Here is a 17,096-nt window from a genome sequence, read left to right as displayed (position 1 = left end):
TTGTCATAGGGGCCTGTCTGCATGTTATAGATTTTTTTTTTTTTTTTTGAGACGGAGTTTCGCTCCTGTTGCCCAGGTTGGAGTGCAATGGCATGATCTCCCCTCACCGCAACCTCTGCCTCCTGGGTTCAAGCAATTCTCCTGCCTCAGCCTCCCAAGTAGCTGGGATTACAGGTGCCCACCACCATACCCGGCTCATTTTTGTATTTTTAGTAGAGACGGGGGTTTCACCACATTGGCCATGCTGGTCTTGAACTCCTGACCTCAGGTGATCCGCCCACCTGGGCCTCCCAAAGTGCTGGGATTACAGGCGTGTAATCCTGTATAGAATTATACACGTTATAGAGTCTTTAGCAGCATCCCTAGCTTCTACCCACCAGATGTCGGTAAGCACCGCCAAGCAGGACAACCAAAAATGTCTCCAAACATTGCTAAATGTCCTCCGGGGGACAAAATATCCCCAGTTGAGATCCTTATTAGCCTTATCCTTTTTCTTCACCATGATACCCCATGAAGGGGATCTGTGTACCGGGGAGTCCCATCACATGGAGTGGAATTAAACATCTTTGCTGTTCAATCCAGCTAGAGTTCACCAAAAGGGTGCCTACAGCTGTGCTGAGCCTGTCATACTACTGAAGTTCCTCAGGCTGTGTTGTCCAGGATCTGAGTGAGAAAAACCCTCCTCCCTTCTCAGAGTTCTCAGGCCAGAAAGGATGGAGTGGGGGCAGGGGCACCTGGGTCTTTTAGTGCTTCCTGGGGAAGAATCCTCTACCCTGCATTTGTAGAGAGACCCGAAGAGACAGGAGCACTGGGCTTGGAGCAAGGCCTTCCTGTGAGGTCTAGAGACACTGCACCTCCCAACTGGACCTCACTTGGCTTCCGCAGGAAATCCTGCATCTTTTTTTTTTTTTTTTTTTTTTTTTTTGAGACAAGGTCTCATCCTGTCACCATGGCTGGAGTGCAGTGGTGAGATCATGGCTCACTGCAGCCTCAACCTCCCGGGCTCAAGTGATTCTCCCACATCATGCTCCCAAGTAGCTGAGAGTACAGGTGTCCACCACCATGCCTGGCTAACTTTTGTAAATTTCTTTTCTGTAGAGACAGGGTTTTGCCATGTTCCCCGGGCTGGTCTCAAAACTGCTGTGCTCAAAGGATCCACCTGCCTCAGTCTCTCAAAGTGCTGATATTACAGGCATGAGCCACCGTGCCCAGCCCAATCCTGCATCTTTTCTAGAGCAGCTGATTACCATAGCATGTGGAGGGAGAGGGCCAGGCCTCAGTTGAGAATCTGGTGAAAGCTGTGATCCCTTACCCCAGAAACGTACATTATACCTGTAGCATCAGGGATTCACAGAACCCAAAAGCCATCCATCCATCCATCCATCCATCCGTCTGTCCGTCCATCCATCCATCCATCCATGCATTGCAGGCTAGGAAGTTTTACCTTATGCTTGCACTTACTCTTGGGGTTGAGATGGAGAGGGAAAGTTCTAGAGCTCTCTCCCTGCTTTTGGAGGGCATGGCAGCACACCTTTTTATCCTGGCCCTAAGCCCTAGGCTAGGCCAAGGAATTATAATGTGAGACAAGGATGTACATCAAGGAGATGAGCTGAGAGAGAAAAGCTGGACCAGGTACAGAGTATAGGAAGAGGGGTGACAATTTCGAGCTGACTCCTTCTCTGTTTCAGCCCAGCCTGAGGGCAGGGTCCAGCTGAGGGAAGGAAGAGGAGAAGAAAGGAAGGGGGAGAGATGAGCCATGCGCTGCGGCCCCCTCCTTCCCCAGCTGCGAGCAGAGCAGCCCAGCGGGTTGGATGAATGCTGGGAGGGGGGAGAGTGACCCTGGCAGAACCCTTTGTTCCAGCTGAGGCTGGAGCAGGGCACTGAGCCATTCACACGCCATCCCAGGGCATCCTGCTGGGCACGCTGGGGAGGGGGCACAGCAGCTGGTCATGGGACTTGGCCAGGCAGATAGCTCGATGCTCAATAGGGAAGCCCAGCTGCGTGCTGCTGAAGCCGGGGGAGAGGCTGCATCTGCCAGCCTTCCTCAAGGCTGTGGCCTGTGCCACAGACAGGAAGGCCCTGGCAGGTCCCAGTTACTCTGCCCTGAGGTGGCCTGGGGGACTCAGAGCAGCCCACCCTGCTTCCTGCTCCCCTGTGTGGATTCCTTATCCTAAAGAGGCTCCAGCATTTTAATTCCACCATTAGTTCTTGCCCTCCCTGGCCAACATCCCAGGGTCTGGTCCAAGACAGAGGCAGAGCGTCCATATCTCAACCTAGTTTTAGTGAGAAGGCTATGGAGGCCTCTCAACATCACCCTTTCTGTCCCTTGTTCCTCTTCTTCAAAAGCACCAAACCTCTGAGTGGCATCATTTTTTTTTGGAGGGGGTTGTTTCTTTTTTTCTTTTTTGAGACAAGGTCTTGCTCTGTTGCACCTGCTGGAGTGCAGTGGTGTGATCATAGCTCACTGCAGCCTTGACCTCCCAGGTTCAAGCAATCCTCCCACCTCAGCCTCCCAAGTAGCTGGGACTACAGGCACATGCCACTACCCTCAGCTAATTTTTTAGTTTTTTGTAGAAACAAGGTCTCACTATGTTGCCCACGATGGTCTTGAACTTCTGAGCTCAATCAATCCTCCCATCTCAGCCCCTCAAAGTGCTGTGATATAGGTATGAGCCACTGTGCCTAGCCTAGGTGGCATCATCTGTTTCTGGGCCCTTAGAGGTGCCATGCAAAAAAGCCCTGTCATAGAGCGGGTCACCTGGACTCTTTGTAAGCCCAAAGTCAGAGGGTATCTGCTGGGTCGTTTATGCCCTGGAGGAGGCATGGTTTTACTGCCTGCATCTCCCTTGAAGTGTCACTGTGACTCTCCAGGTGACAGTGCCCCTGGACTAGGCTCCTCTACTTTCCCCTCGGAATGGGCTTGGGTTGAGTGGGAGCTGAGCCCTCACTGATTCCTTTTCCCTCCGCCCAGGCCTGGCCAGCAGCCCCGAGTGTGCTTGTGGTCGGAGCCACTTCACATGTGCAGTGAGTGCTCTTGGAGAGTGTACCTGCATCCCTGCCCAGTGGCAGTGTGATGGAGACAATGACTGCGGGGACCACAGCGATGAGGATGGATGTAGTAAGTACCTCCCCAGAGGCAGTGGGAGGTGGTGGAGAGGGACCTGGGGGTGGGGGGCAAGGACAAGGCTGATGGAGTATTTTCTGCATCAACTGTGTCGGACTCAGAGAGTTGGTCTTTTGCAAGCTTGATAGATATTGACATTTGGGTAGTTTCTTCACTATATATGGCTCCAACTCTCCTGTGTTTCTTTTGGTTGGTTCATGCATATATGTCCAAGAAAACAAACTTGACAACACGTGTAAGAGAACACAACAGGGAGTTTCTTTAAATAGGTCTCTCTGTATTTATGTGAATATGTTTGTGTATATGTACCGCATATTTGTGCGTTTTAAAATTTATATACTATACACAAATGTGGATTATTTCTATGTTTCTTATTTTGGTATTTTGTACAATAAAACCTTTTTTTTTTTTTTTTTTTGATACAGAGTCTCATTCTGTTTCCCAGGCTGGAGTGCAGGGGCACAGTCTAGGCTCACTGCAACCTCCACCTCCCAGGTTCAAGTGATTCTCCTGCCTCAGCCTCCTGAGTAGCTGGGACTACAGGCATGTGCCACCATGCCCAGCTAATTTTTTGTATTTTTAGTAGAGATGAGGTTTCAACATTTTGGCCAGGCTGGTCTCGAACTCATGACTTCAAGTGATCCAGCCACCTCAGCCTCCCAAAGTGCTGGGATTACAGGCATGAACCACCACGCCCAGCCACACCTTTCTTAGTAACTTTGTAAGAAATCTTATATTTTCTTAGGCCGGGCGCAGTGGCTCATGCCTGTAATCCCAGCACTTTGGGAGGCTGAGGTGGGCAGATCACGAGGTCAGGAAATCGAGACCATCCTGGCTAATACGCTGAAACCCTGTCTCTATTAAAAATACAAAAAAATTAGCCGGGCGTGGTGGCAGGCACCTGAGGTCCCAGCTACTTGGGAGGCTGAGGCAGGAGAATGGTGTAAACCCGGGAGACAGAGCTTGCAGTGAGCCGAGATCGCGCCACTGCACTCCAGATTGGGCGACAGAGCGAGACTCCGTCTAAAAAAAAAAAAACTTATATTTTCCTTAAGTCTCCCTTTTCCCCTAGCATGGTAACATCTGCACAGTTGGCCAGGGTGACCTGTCTTGGATATATAGAAATATCCCTGCTAAGCCAATAGTCTGGATTAGAGGCGCAATCTCTGACCTACCTGTAGCATCTATGTCTGAGGGTGGCTAATTAGTCTAATGGGAACGGAGGTACAACCTGGACCTCATTAACCCTAACCAGTTCAGCTAATTGTGTTGATGATAAATGCTTCACTTTCATGTAGCATTTTCATAGGCATTATATCAAAAGGCCTCTATGAACTGAGTATAATTATCCCCATTGTACAGCCAAAAAGACTTCAGCTCAGAGAGGGTAAATGACTTGCTCAGAGTGTTACGTAATGAACTGGAAATTGAGCCCGGGTGTGTCAATCATCATTTAACAAGAGGAAAGGAGGGGAAAAAGGCGCTTCTTTCTCTTGCTCATGTTTTTCTTATGTTTTCTTAGCTCCTGTGAGTTCTTTGGGTTGTTCTTCCCCTACCCTGTGAACCCCTCACCACAATTACCTTTTGAATCTCTGTCTTAGCTGCAGTTTCTGCTTAGCTTCTCCATCAGCTGGGGATGGGCCTAGGAGTCAGTAAGGAAGGACTATAAAACAGACAAGGGGGCTGGGTGTGGTGGCTCACGCCTGTAATCCCAACAGTTTGGGAGGCCAAGGCAGGTGGATCTCTTGAGGCCAGGAGTTCGAGACTGGCCTGGCCAACATGGCGAAAACCCACCTCTACTAAAAATACACACAAAAAAAAAGATAGCTGGGTGTGGCAGCGGGCACCTGTAACACCAGCTACTCGGGAGGCTGAGGCATGAGAATTCCTTGAACCCAGGAGGCGGTGGTTGCAGTGAGCCGAGATCATACCACTGCACTCCAGCCTGGGTGACAGAGTCAGACTCTGTTTCAAAAAAAAAAAAAAGGCCAGGCGCCATGGCTCATGCCTGTAATCCCAGCACTTTGGGAGGCTGAGGCAGGCAGATCACCTGAGGTCGGGGGTTTGAGACCAGCCTGGCCAACACGACAAAACCCTGTCTCTACTAAAAATGCAAAAAACAAAAACAAAAACCAAAAAAACCTAGCCAGGTGTGGTGAAGCATGCCTGTAATCCCAGCTACTTGGGAGGCTGAGTCAGAATCGCCTGAACCAGGAGGCAGAGGTTGCAGTGAGCCAAGATTGCGCCACTGTACTCCAACCTGGGTGACAGAGTAAGACTCGGTCTCAAAAAAAGAAAAAAAGACAAGGGGATTTGGAGCAAAAGGCTATCTGGCCTAGTTGAGCCTGAGTAAGAATACCAGGTTGATTGACTTTTCTTTTCTTTTCCTGGGATTCAGTACTACCTACCTGTTCCCCTCTTGACTTTCACTGTGACAATGGCAAGTGCATCCGCCGCTCCTGGGTGTGTGACGGGGACAACGACTGTGAGGATGACTCGGATGAGCAGGACTGTCGTGAGTGTTGGCAGAGGCTGGGCGGAACTCCATTGAGTTCCACTGGGAAAGGATTTTCAATCAGAAAGCAATGCCCCAGGTCCACATGAGCCCTTGTGTTTTCAGCACTTTGTCCTGTCCTTTCACTTCCTCTCGAAGTCAGATAAGCTGCTGAGAGGCAGCCACCTCCTTCGGAGCCCTCAGGGCAGCACTGGAGCTACTTGACTGCTCCGGAGGGCTTTAAGTCAGGCTTCCAGGCACCAGACCCCCACTGCCTGCAGCAGCCTGACTGCTCTGTGCCCACAGCCCCCCGGGAGTGTGAGGAGGACGAGTTTCCCTGCCAGAATGGCTACTGCATCCGGAGTCTGTGGCACTGCGATGGTGACAATGACTGTGGCGACAACAGCGATGAGCAGTGTGGTGGGTGACCCCAACGGGGGAAGGCAGGCAAGGTGGCCAGTGGGTGGCCTGGCCATGGGAGAAGATAGCAGCAATGGCCCTAGCACTGCCAAACCTCCAACTGCCCAGATATCTGGAGCAGCTAGAGGAACGCAGAGGGGGCAGAGCCGCTCAGACCCCCCAGAAACTGTGGACCAGGAGGCTGAGGCCCAGTCTCTCCAGGGCCTCCGTTCTCCCTGGAGAGTCTGCACTGACTCTGGGGTGCCTTTCGGGGGCTAGGTCAGACCCGCCAAAGCCAGTGAGGTTGGGAGTCAGAGAGGAGGGTGAGAGGGTTGCCTGTGGGGCCCCCTCAGAACTGCTGTCCCATCGCATCCCCCCAGACATGCGCAAGTGCTCCGACAAGGAGTTCCGCTGTAGTGACGGAAGCTGCATTGCTGAGCATTGGTACTGCGACGGTGACACCGACTGCAAAGATGGCTCCGATGAGGAGAACTGTCGTGAGTGGCCCCAGACCTCAGGCTGTTGGGTTGGATGAGGGCAGACAGTTCTGCCCATTGGCTAAGGGCGAGGCTGAGGAGTGCATGTACCAAGGGCAAGGAGCATGGGTGCCTCAGCAGCAGCTCCTCCTAGGCTGAGCTAGGGAGGGAGCAAGTTCCCCAGGTGGGAAGGGAAGGCTTCCTTTGGTCCACCTGAATATGGGCGTCTATAAGGGCTGTCCCAGATGAAACCTGGTTACATCTCACTTGAAGAAGCTCTCCTGCCTGAGCATCCTGCCTGCTTGAGGAATCAGGGCCCCTCTCCTTCATCCAGGCCTGAGTGTGTGCCCCTCCCCACCCCTGCCTTCCCTCCAGCCTCAGCAGTGCCAGCGCCCCCCTGCAACCTGGAGGAGTTCCAGTGTGCCTATGGACGCTGCATCCTCGACATCTACCACTGCGATGGCGACGATGACTGTGGAGACTGGTCAGACGAGTCTGACTGCTGTGAGTACTCTGGCCAGCTGGGAGGTGGGGAGGCCAGGCTGGGAAGAACTGCTTGGGTGGCAAGGCACAGTCGCCAGCTGGGGCAGGAGTTCAGAGAGGAGTTTCTGGATTTTCTGGTCCCTCTTGGGAAGAGATGGAGGAACTGGGATTCTGGGGCTGTGGCCTTCTAGTCTGCCATGGGACACTGCACAGACTGGCTAGAGACAGAAGTCTTGTGTTTCCCTAGCCTCCCACCAGCCCTGCCGCTCTGGGGAGTTCATGTGTGACAGTGGCCTGTGCATCAATGCAGGCTGGCGCTGCGATGGTGACGCGGACTGTGATGACCAGTCTGATGAGCGCAACTGCAGTGAGTGGGGAAATGGAATTAGGTTGGGCTTGAACTAAGGAGAAGGCTTGTGGAGCCAAAGAGGCCACTACCGGCTGGGCGCGGTGGCTCATGCTTATAATGCCAGCACTTTGGGAGACCAAGGTGGGTGGATTGCTTGAGGTCAGGAGTTCAAGACCAGCCTGGGTAACATGGTTAAACCCCATCTCTACTAAAAATACAAAACTTAGCTGGGTGTGGTGGCGCATGCCTGTAATCCCAGCTACTCGGGAGGCTGAGGCAGGAGAATCGCTTGAACCTAGGAGGCAGAGGTTGCAGTGACCCGAGACGGCGTCCCTGTAGCAGAGTGAGATGACATCTCAAAAAACAAGACAATCCGGGAGGTGAGGGGCGCCTCTGCCTGGCCGCCCCTACTGGGAAGTGAGGAGCCCCTCTGCCCGGCCAGCCGCCCCATCCAGGAGGGAGGTGGGGGGGTCAGCCCCCCGCCCGGTCAGCCACCCCGTCCGGGAGGGAGGTGGGGGGGTCAGCCCCCCGCCCGGCCAGCCGCCCCGTCCGGGAGGGAGGTTGGGGGGTCAGCCCCCCGCCCGGCCAGCCGCCCCGTCCGGGAGGTGAGGGGCGCCTCTGCCCGGCCGCCCCTACTGGGAAGTGAGGAGCCCCTCTGCCAGGCCACCACCCCGTCTGGGAGGTGTACCCAACAGCTCATTGAGAACGGGCCATGATGACAATGGCGGTTTTGTGGAATAGAAAGGAGGGAAAGGTGGGGAAAAGATTGAGAAATCGGATGGTTGCCGTGTCTGTGTAGAAAGAAGTATACATGGGAGACTTTTCATTTTGTTCTGTACTAAGAAAAATTCTTCTGCCTTGGGATCCTGTTGATCTGTGACCTTACCCCCAACCCTGTGCTCTCTGAAACATGTGCTGTGTCCACTCAGGGTTAAATGGATTAAGGGCGGTGCAAGATGTGCTTTGTTAAACAGATGCTTGAAGGCCGCATGCTCGTTAAGAGTCATCACCACTCCCTAATCTCAAGTACCCAGGGACACAAACACTGCGGAAGGCCGCAGGGTCCTCTGCCTAGGAAAACCAGAGACCTTTGTTCACTTGTTTATCTGCTGACCTTCCCTCCACTATTGTCCTATGACCCTGCCAAATCCCCCTCTGCGAGAAACACCCAAGAATGATAATAAAAAAATTAAAAAATAAAAAAAAATAAAAATAAAAAAATAAAAAGAAAAAAAAAAAAAGACAAACAGGCCACTACCCATAAATCTTGAAGACACTGGGTAAGACCACCACCATGTACAGTTGTGTAGGTTGTGCACTGTGCAGAGGCAATATGTCCAAAGGGAAGCCAGTCACATAATAGATTTATATACTCATCATGGCAGTTTTCCAGCAGATGGCAGTAAAGTGTCTTGAGGAAAGGATACTTTTTTCTGATTCACACAAAGACACTATATAGACCAGCTGTGATCCCGGTGTCAAGAGTGGCATGGGTACTGATATAAGCTGCAGATTTGGGTGGCAGGGAGAATTTCAGGCTGAAATGGGGCCCACCTTTCATTAAGCCTTTGCTTTGCCCAGCCACCTCCATGTGTACGGCAGAACAGTTCCGCTGTCACTCAGGCCGCTGTGTCCGCCTGTCCTGGCGCTGTGATGGGGAGGACGACTGTGCAGACAACAGCGATGAAGAGAACTGTGAGAATACAGGTGGTGTCTCCCGGGGTGCCCCAGAACCCTTAGCCTATAGTTGGGGTGGAAGGGTGGAAAAGAGGGTGCTTTGGTATCTTTCCAGTTGGGTTGAGGTTTTACCAGTGTAAAATCCAGGTGCATCATTGACCTGCGGCCTTATGGCCTGGAGCACAGTATCAGAGCTGCGAGTTTCAATTGCCACTCCTATTCTAACTCACACACAGCCAGTGCCTTTAGCTCTGGTCTAGTGAGGAAGGACTACCCTCCATCTGGCAGCCCCCATGTGTGCTCCCCTGGCCACACCCAGTATTGAGCATGTGGTTGCACTTTTTCATTCTGTTCCATATTCCTCACCATCCCACTGTGGAGTCCTGGGGAGAAAGCAAATGCAGACATTCAGCCAGCCCTGTCTGAGCTGCTTCCTGCCCAGGACCCTCACCCTCCCACCTTGAGTCTCATCTGTCTCCAGCTTACCCTAGAAAATGACAGGCTCCCATCTCTTTGTTGGCCCAAGCCCTGCCTTGCTATGACCTGACCCTCCATCTCTCTAGGAAGCCCCCAATGTGCCTTGGACCAGTTCCTGTGTTGGAATGGGCGCTGCATTGGGCAGAGGAAGCTGTGCAACGGGGTCAACGACTGTGGTGACAACAGCGACGAAAGCCCACAGCAGAATTGCCGTGAGTGTCCCCAGTGGGCGGACCTGGCCCATGGTTTGTGGCCGAACCCCACCCATAGGGTTCAAAGGGAATCCTCCCTCAGGACTCTTGCAGCTTTGGGAGCTGTTCTTTGTGGTCCAGGTGGAATGCCAAGTTGGCTCTCTGGGGGAGGATTCTGGGCTCAACTCCCAACTCTGGCTTGGCTGGCACAGGGCCCCGGACGGGTGAGGAGAACTGCAATGTTAACAACGGTGGCTGTGCCCAGAAGTGCCAGATGGTGCGGGGGGCAGTGCAGTGTACCTGCCACACAGGCTACCGGCTCACAGAGGATGGGCACACGTGCCAAGGTGAGCTGGGGCCTGGTTTGCAGCAGAGTCGGGGTTCTGAGCAGGGGCAGCAGACAGGCAGCTGTGTTTCCTATGGGTCAGGCATTTGAACGGTGTGACCTCATTTCGTCCTCACAATAACCCTAGGAGGTGGGGATCATCCTTCCCATTTCACAGATGGGGAGACTGAAGCACAGAGAGGATAAGTAGCTTACCAAAGGCCACACAGCTGGCGAGTAGCAGAGTTGGGATTCCAGCCCAGGTCTGCATGACCTTAAAGCCCTTAACCATTTCTTCTTTTTTATTTTTTATTTTTATTTTTTTGAGATGGAGCCTCGCTCTGTCGCCCAGGCTGGAGTGCAGTGGTGCGATCTCGGCTCACTGCAGCCTCCGCCTCCTGGGTTCAAGCCATTCTCCTGCCTCAGCCTCTTGAGTAGCTGGGACTACAGGTGTGCGCCACCACGCCCGGCCGCCCTTAACCATTTCTTAGACAGCCTTCCCACTAGGCCTGGAAAGTAGATGGGGATGTGGGCAGAAAAGCAGCTCGGCAGCCTGGGAGCGGGAGTGGGAGGACGACAGAAGGGAGATCTCTTGACCTGCCTGGTGTTCCCAGATGTGAATGAATGTGCCGAGGAGGGGTATTGCAGCCAGGGCTGCACCAACAGCGAAGGGGCTTTCCAATGCTGGTGTGAAACAGGCTATGAACTACGGCCCGACCGGCGCAGCTGCAAGGCTCTGGGTAAGGGCTGTTGGCACTTGGCTGGGTGGGCAGAGGGCCGAGCATGGAGGAAGGCCAGGTACTCTGGTGCTCAGGGATTTGCAGAGAGGTAGAGAGATTTCTGTCACAGTAAAATGCAGCAACAGTTGCATTCTGAGCCCCAAGAAAAATGCTGCTGGGGTGGAGTGGGGTGGGGAGGGGTGGAGGAATATAGTTTAAAGGTTGCCACTCTTCTGGTACTGATGCTGACAGCTTGGGGCATGTCCTTGTGAGCAAGTGGCTCCATCGGTCAGCTGAAGACCTGCTGATGGGTACCAGGGGCGGCTCTGAAACCCAGTGGGTATCCCATGTTTATACTGTTTCCCAGGGCCAGAGCCTGTGCTGCTGTTCGCCAATCGCATCGACATCCGGCAGGTGCTGCCACACCGCTCTGAGTACACACTGCTGCTTAACAACCTGGAGAATGCCATTGCCCTTGATTTCCACCACCGCCGCGAGCTTGTCTTCTGGTCAGATGTCACCCTGGACCGGATCCTCCGTGCCAACCTCAACGGCAGCAACGTGGAGGAGGTTGTGTCTACTGGGCTGGAGAGCCCAGGTAGGGAACAAGGCCCCATGGAGAGGGGCAGAGCCATGCCACATGCGCAGCAACGGTGGGAGGAATAGGCCAGTGGTTTGCAAACCTTAGGCAGCAGGACATCTTTTTCTTCCAGGGAAATCTTAGTTGGAGCCCTAATATAGAAAACATTTGTTAATGTATATCAATTTTATAGGTTCAAATATAACATTTGCTCATGATTGAGCTCAATCAGTGAGAATAATGAGACCACGTTGGTGGTTGTGATCATGGGAATCAGATTTATGGATGACAGAGTTCTCCATCAGCCTTTGCATCTAGTTTATTTCTGAGTTTTGTTTCGATTGCTTAGTATTAAGAATATTCTGATTGACCTGGATAAGTATATCAAAATGTTTTATAGATTGTTAAAAAAACAGGCCAGGCACGGTGGCTCACGCCTGTAATCCCAGCACTTTGGGAGGCTGAGGTGGGCAGATCACCTGAGGTTGGGAGTTTGAGACCAGCCTGACCAACATGGAGAAACCCCATCTCTACTAAAAATACAAAAGTTAGCCGGGCGTGGTGGCGCATGCCTGTAATCCCAGCTACTTGGGAGGCTGAGGCAGGAGAATTGCTTGAACTCAGGAAGTGGAGGTTGCGGTGAGCCGAGATCACGCCATTGTACTTCAGCCTAGGCAAAACTCCGTCTCAAAAAAAAAAAAAAAATAGTTCAAGCGTGGTGGCTTACGCCTGTAATCCCAGCACTTTGGGAGGCTGAAGCAGGCGGATCACGTGAGGTCAGGAGTTTGAGACCAGCCTGGCCAACATGGCAAAACCCCATCTCTATTAAAAATACAAAAATTAGCCAGGCATGGTGGCAAATGCCTGTAATCCCAGCTACTTGGGAGGCTGAGGAAGGAGAAACTCTTGAACCCAGGAGGTGGAGGTTGCAGTGACCCGAGACTGCACCACTGCACTCCAGCCTGCGCAATGGGAGTGAGACTCCATCTCGAAACAAACAAACAAAAAACCACAGAAACAGCTCACTTGTCAATCTCAGGCTATTTTACAAATAGGTGAAGTGGTCAAATTCTAATTTGGTATCAAGCACATTGGACTCAAATGCCTAGGGAATTTCTGAAATGCCTCTGCAAAACCCCAGATGACAATTTACAAACCCCTGGGTCAGTGCAGTGGGGGACCCTGGGAATGCGTCAGGGAGACAGAATTCAGAAAGTGATGTATGGTTGACTGTGAGGAGGAAGTGCATGCCCTTGGACAGTTACTTAACTCTTTTGTGCCTCAATTTCCTCATCCTCATGGAAATTACAGTATCTAGCTCACAGAGTTGTGATGCTTAAATGAATTCATGTATCTGAAGTGATGACAATAGTGCCTGGCCCAAAAAATTGCTTCCTGTAAGAGTTTGCTCCTATTACTATGGGACATGGGGGCCTGGGTTGACTCCTTGACATTTTTTGCTGCTGCTTCTCACCAGGGGGCCTGGCTGTGGATTGGGTCCATGACAAACTCTACTGGACCGACTCAGGCACCTCGAGGATTGAGGTGGCCAATCTGGATGGGGCCCACCGGAAAGTGTTGCTGTGGCAGAACCTGGAGAAGCCCCGGGCCATTGCCTTGCATCCCATGGAGGGGTAAGTTGTATCTCAGGCTCCCGAACTTTCTTGCAACCTCTCGGGACAGCTCCCAGGCTACCTGGACTAGACATTCTGGGAGTACATCCTCAAAGTGTGGTGTAGCTGGGCGCGGTGGCTCACGCCTGTAATCCCAGCACTTTGGGAGGCCAAGGCGGGCAGATCACCTGAGGTCAGTAATTCGAGACCAGCCTGGCCAACATGGGGAAACCCCATCTCTGCAAAATACAAAAATTAGCCAGGCATGGTGGCGGGTGCTTGTAATCCCAGCTACTCGGGAGGTTGAGGCAGGAGAGTTGTTTGAACCCAGGAGGCACAGGTTACAGTGAGCTGAGATTGCGCCACTGCACTCCAGCCTGGGAGAAAGAGCAAGACTCTGTCTCGAAAAAAAAAAAAAAAAAAAGTATGATGTTAATAACATGGGCTCTGTCCCCCACACACTTGAGTCTAGGTCCTGGCTCTGTAATAACTGGCTGTGTGGCCTTGGGCCAGTTAATCTCTGTCTGCCTTGTTTACTCATTTCTAAATTGGTGATTAAAAAAAAATACCTCCATCATAGTTGTATGAAGATTAAATGAGGTGATGCATTTTAAATTGCATATAACACACATTAGATAAGTTGTAGGTGTTTCGTATTTTTATTATTAGCTCATAAGGTTGACCTAATTAATACAAATTAATAGTTATTAGTAATTCATAAGAATTGTAATTAATTATTATAGCCTAAAAATTAATAGAGGGGCCGGGCACAGTGGCTCACACCTATAATTCCAGCACTTTTGGAGACCAAGGAAGGAGGATCACTTGAGTCCAGGAGTTCAAGATCAGCCTGGGCAACATAGTGTGGCCTCATCTCTACAAAAATGTTTTCTAAATTAGCCTGGCATAGTGGCACATGCCTGTAGTCCCAGCTACGTGGGAGGCTGAGGTGCAAGGATGGCTTGAGACTGGGAGGTCGAGGTTGCAGGGAACCGTGATTGCAACAGTGACCTCCAGCCTGGGTGACAGAGTAAGACCCTGTCTCAAAAAAAGTTAAATAAATAAAATTGAGAAATCTGGTCAGGTTCAGTGGCTCATGCCTATAATCTCAGCACTTTGGGATGCTGAGGTGGGCAGATTGCTTGAGCCCAGGAGTTCAAGACCAGCTTGGGCAACATGGCAAAACCCCATCTCTATAAAAAGTACAAAAATTAGCTGGACTTATTGATGCATGCCTGTAGTCCCAACTACACAGGAGGCTGAGGTAGGAGGATCACCTGAGCCCTGGAGTTCGAGGCTGCAGTGAGCCATGATTATGGCACTGCACTCCTGGATGACAGAGTGAGACTCTGTCTCAAAAAAAATTAAATTTAAAATTCAGAAATCTGAATTAAAGAAAAACTCCTGAAATGAAGTTCTCACCTCTGGCTTTTAAAAATTCTATGCAATCAATGGAGGGAGTATCTTATAAGGTCCTACAGTATGTATCAACTGTTTTAGAAACTGTGTGTGTGTATGTGTGTGTGTCTGTGTGTGTGTGTGTGTGTGTGTGTGTGTGTGTGTGTATAAAATACAAAAGGAGCCGGGCATGGTGACTCAAGCTTGTAACCCCAGCACTTTGGGAGGCCGAGGCAGGTGGATCACTTGGGGTCAGGAGTTTGAGACCAGCCTGGCCAACATGGTGAAACCCCATCTCTACTAAAAATACAAAAATTAGCTGGGCATGGTGGCGGGTGCCTGTAATTCCAGCTACTTGGGAGGCTGAGGCAGGAGAATCACTTGGGTCCAGGAGGTGGAGGTTGCAGTGAGCTGAAATCGTGCCACTGCATTCCAGCCTGGGCAACAGAGCGAGTCTCAAAAATAAAAGAAAATAAAATACAAAAGGCAGTGGAAGAGATTGTGACAAAGAAGAAAGTGCCTGTCCTAATATTACATTATATTGTCAATTCTGTGAGACTTTTGTCTGTTTTGTTCACTGCTAGATTTCCAGTGCCTAAGATAGTATGTCCTGCCTGTTGCCAGTATGAAAAAAAAAATTATTAAATGAATAAATGCCCTGTCTAAAGACATTTAAACTCAGACACTTAAAAAGCATTCTGAGGCTGGGCATGGTGACTCATGCCTATAATCCCAGTACTTTGAAAGGACAAAGCAGGAGGATTGCTTGAGCTCAGGAGTTTGAGACCAGCTTGGGTAACATAGCAAGACCTCATCTCTACTACAAAAAAAAATTAGTTAGGTGTAGCGATACTAGCTGCTCAGAAGGCTGAAGTGGGAGGCCTTCTGAGCCCAGGAGATTGAGGCCGCAGTGAGCTGTAATCTCACCTGCCCTCCAGCCTGGGTGACAAAATGAGACCCCGTCTAAAAAAAAAATTCATTCTGTGGACCAAACATTGGAGTCCCCTGAGTTAAATGGATAAAAGCGCCCTACCTGATTATTCTCCTGGTTACCTACCTGTTTTCTGCTGCCCACTTCCCAATTTACTTTTCTCTTCCTAGTACCATTTACTGGACAGACTGGGGCAACACCCCCCGTATTGAGGCCTCCAGCATGGATGGCTCTGGACGCCGCATCATTGCCGATACCCATCTCTTCTGGCCCAATGGCCTCACCATCGACTATGCCGGGCGCCGTATGTACTGGGTGGATGCTAAGCACCATGTCATCGAGAGGGCCAATCTGGATGGGAGTCACCGTAAGGCTGTCATTAGCCAGGGTGAGCCCCTTCCTTCAGTCTCCTTCATCTCTTGTCCTCCTGCCCCCGTCCCTGCCCCCCAGGAGCCTTGGTAGAGGTTTTGTGTAGTTGCCAGGCCTGGGCCCAGGGGACATGGCAGACCACGTCCAGACTGAGGTCTTCCTGGACTTTCCCCAGGCCTCCCGCATCCCTTCGCCATCACAGTGTTTGAAGACAGCCTGTACTGGACAGACTGGCACACCAAGAGCATCAATAGCGCTAACAAATTTACGGGGAAGAACCAGGAAATCATTCGCAACAAACTCCACTTCCCTATGGACATCCACACCTTGCACCCCCAGCGCCAACCTGCAGGTAAAAAACTGCCCACCGGGTGAGCCAAAGTAGCCTCATGGTTGAGGTGGCCTCTGGTGCCTCTGAGAACCTTCCTTCCCCTTAGAGTTGCCATTTCTTCTGATGGGGAAATCCAGCAGGGCACTGACATGGGCTAATTCCTCCCTCTGCTGGACATTCGGGGCAGTACAACAAGATTCACGAAAAGATTCATTAGACTTCACCGTTCCCATCTAATTCAGGCAGACATTTACAGGGCATCTCCTCTGTGCCGGGTACTCACTGTGCTAGCAGCAGGGGCAGATGTCAAAAATATAAGACATAGTTTCTCCCTTCAGGGAACTATCACCCTACCTAAACCCCTATTCCCTAGTCTTGGGGTCACTTTTGCAGACCTTCGCTGATCCTCTTGCCCTGGGCTCTTTGAGCAGGGAAAAACCGCTGTGGGGACAACAACGGAGGCTGCACGCACCTGTGTCTGCCCAGTGGCCAGAACTACACCTGTGCCTGCCCCACTGGCTTCCGCAAGATCAGCAGCCACGCCTGTGCCCAGAGTAAGTGGGTCTGCAACACCAGCCTCCATGGAGGCTGTTGTGAGGATGGGGAGAAGGAACAAGGGATAGGACGTGGAGGGATTGCCTGTCATGGGAAAAACCACATTCCTCAGGGAGCCCTGGAGAGGAAGAACTTAAGAGGCTGAGGGATCTTCTATCAAAGCTGAGGACTGAGGACCCAGCACTAGTGGCTGAAGGCTCAGCAATACCGCCCGGTCGAGTGTGAACACCTGCAGTGAGGCTCATGTATCATTTTACCAGGCAGGATTGCCTTCTCTATAGGCAGCAAGAGGGTTTTATGCTCTTCTAGAAAACAGGGGAATGATTTCCTACCTTTTTACCTTTAGCGTCACCCTGTTGAAGACTTTCTTTCGGCCCTTAAACCAGGAAGCCAAAATTAGAATCTCTGATGATGTTCTGTGTAAGCGGGTCCTGGATAAATATGTGTTAAACAAGTGGAAGATCATGGGATCTTCCCTGGTCTGTCCCTGAACTGCTACTTTGGCTTCCTTTGGGCTCCTTAGGAGTTATTGTTTTGAGAGGGTAACCCTGGAGAGCCCAGCACACGATGACTTTTTCTAAGAATAGTCCAGAGAGGAGCGGTCC

General features: G+C 51.4%; 1 protein-coding gene across 3 annotated transcripts in view, besides 1 other annotated feature; it reads left to right on the top strand.

Moving 5' to 3' along the window:
- Positions 1-17,096, top strand: part of LRP4 (LDL receptor related protein 4) — a 61,834-nt gene that overhangs the window by 12,650 nt on the left and 32,088 nt on the right. For 2 of the 3 annotated variants that reach the window (NM_002334.4, XM_017017734.2), the window contains exons 2-16: positions 2,972-3,118; positions 5,523-5,639; positions 5,925-6,038; positions 6,398-6,514; positions 6,869-6,997; positions 7,224-7,343; positions 8,907-9,032; positions 9,566-9,691; positions 9,883-10,017; positions 10,610-10,735; positions 11,082-11,312; positions 12,772-12,928; positions 15,407-15,624; positions 15,781-15,957; positions 16,368-16,490. In NM_002334.4, the coding sequence (NP_002325.2) occupies positions 2,972-3,118; positions 5,523-5,639; positions 5,925-6,038; positions 6,398-6,514; positions 6,869-6,997; positions 7,224-7,343; positions 8,907-9,032; positions 9,566-9,691; positions 9,883-10,017; positions 10,610-10,735; positions 11,082-11,312; positions 12,772-12,928; positions 15,407-15,624; positions 15,781-15,957; positions 16,368-16,490 (2,163 nt within the window). Of the gene's footprint in view, positions 1-2,971; positions 3,119-5,522; positions 5,640-5,924; positions 6,039-6,397; positions 6,515-6,868; positions 6,998-7,223; positions 7,344-7,596; positions 7,706-8,906; positions 9,033-9,565; positions 9,692-9,882; positions 10,018-10,609; positions 10,736-11,081; positions 11,313-12,771; positions 12,929-15,406; positions 15,625-15,780; positions 15,958-16,367; positions 16,491-17,096 lie in introns of those variants that run through there. The other variant, XM_011520103.3, reaches the window with a different exon arrangement.
- Positions 8,804-9,529: an enhancer, noted in NCBI's record as "H3K4me1 hESC enhancer chr11:46917923-46918648 (GRCh37/hg19 assembly coordinates)". NCBI's record gives its function as "activates a minimal SCP1, AML or CMV promoter by ChIP-STARR-seq in naive H9 embryonic stem cells {active_cell/tissue: H9 hESC(naive)}" and the evidence as "EXISTENCE:reporter gene assay evidence [ECO:0000049][PMID:30033119]".

The sequence above is a fragment of the Homo sapiens genome, chromosome 11 (assembly GCF_000001405.40).
Source record: "Homo sapiens chromosome 11, GRCh38.p14 Primary Assembly".
Classification (NCBI taxonomy): domain Eukaryota; kingdom Metazoa; phylum Chordata; class Mammalia; order Primates; family Hominidae; genus Homo; species Homo sapiens.
The sequence above is the reverse complement of the archived record's forward strand: the minus strand, read 5'-3'. Positions and strand labels throughout refer to the sequence as shown.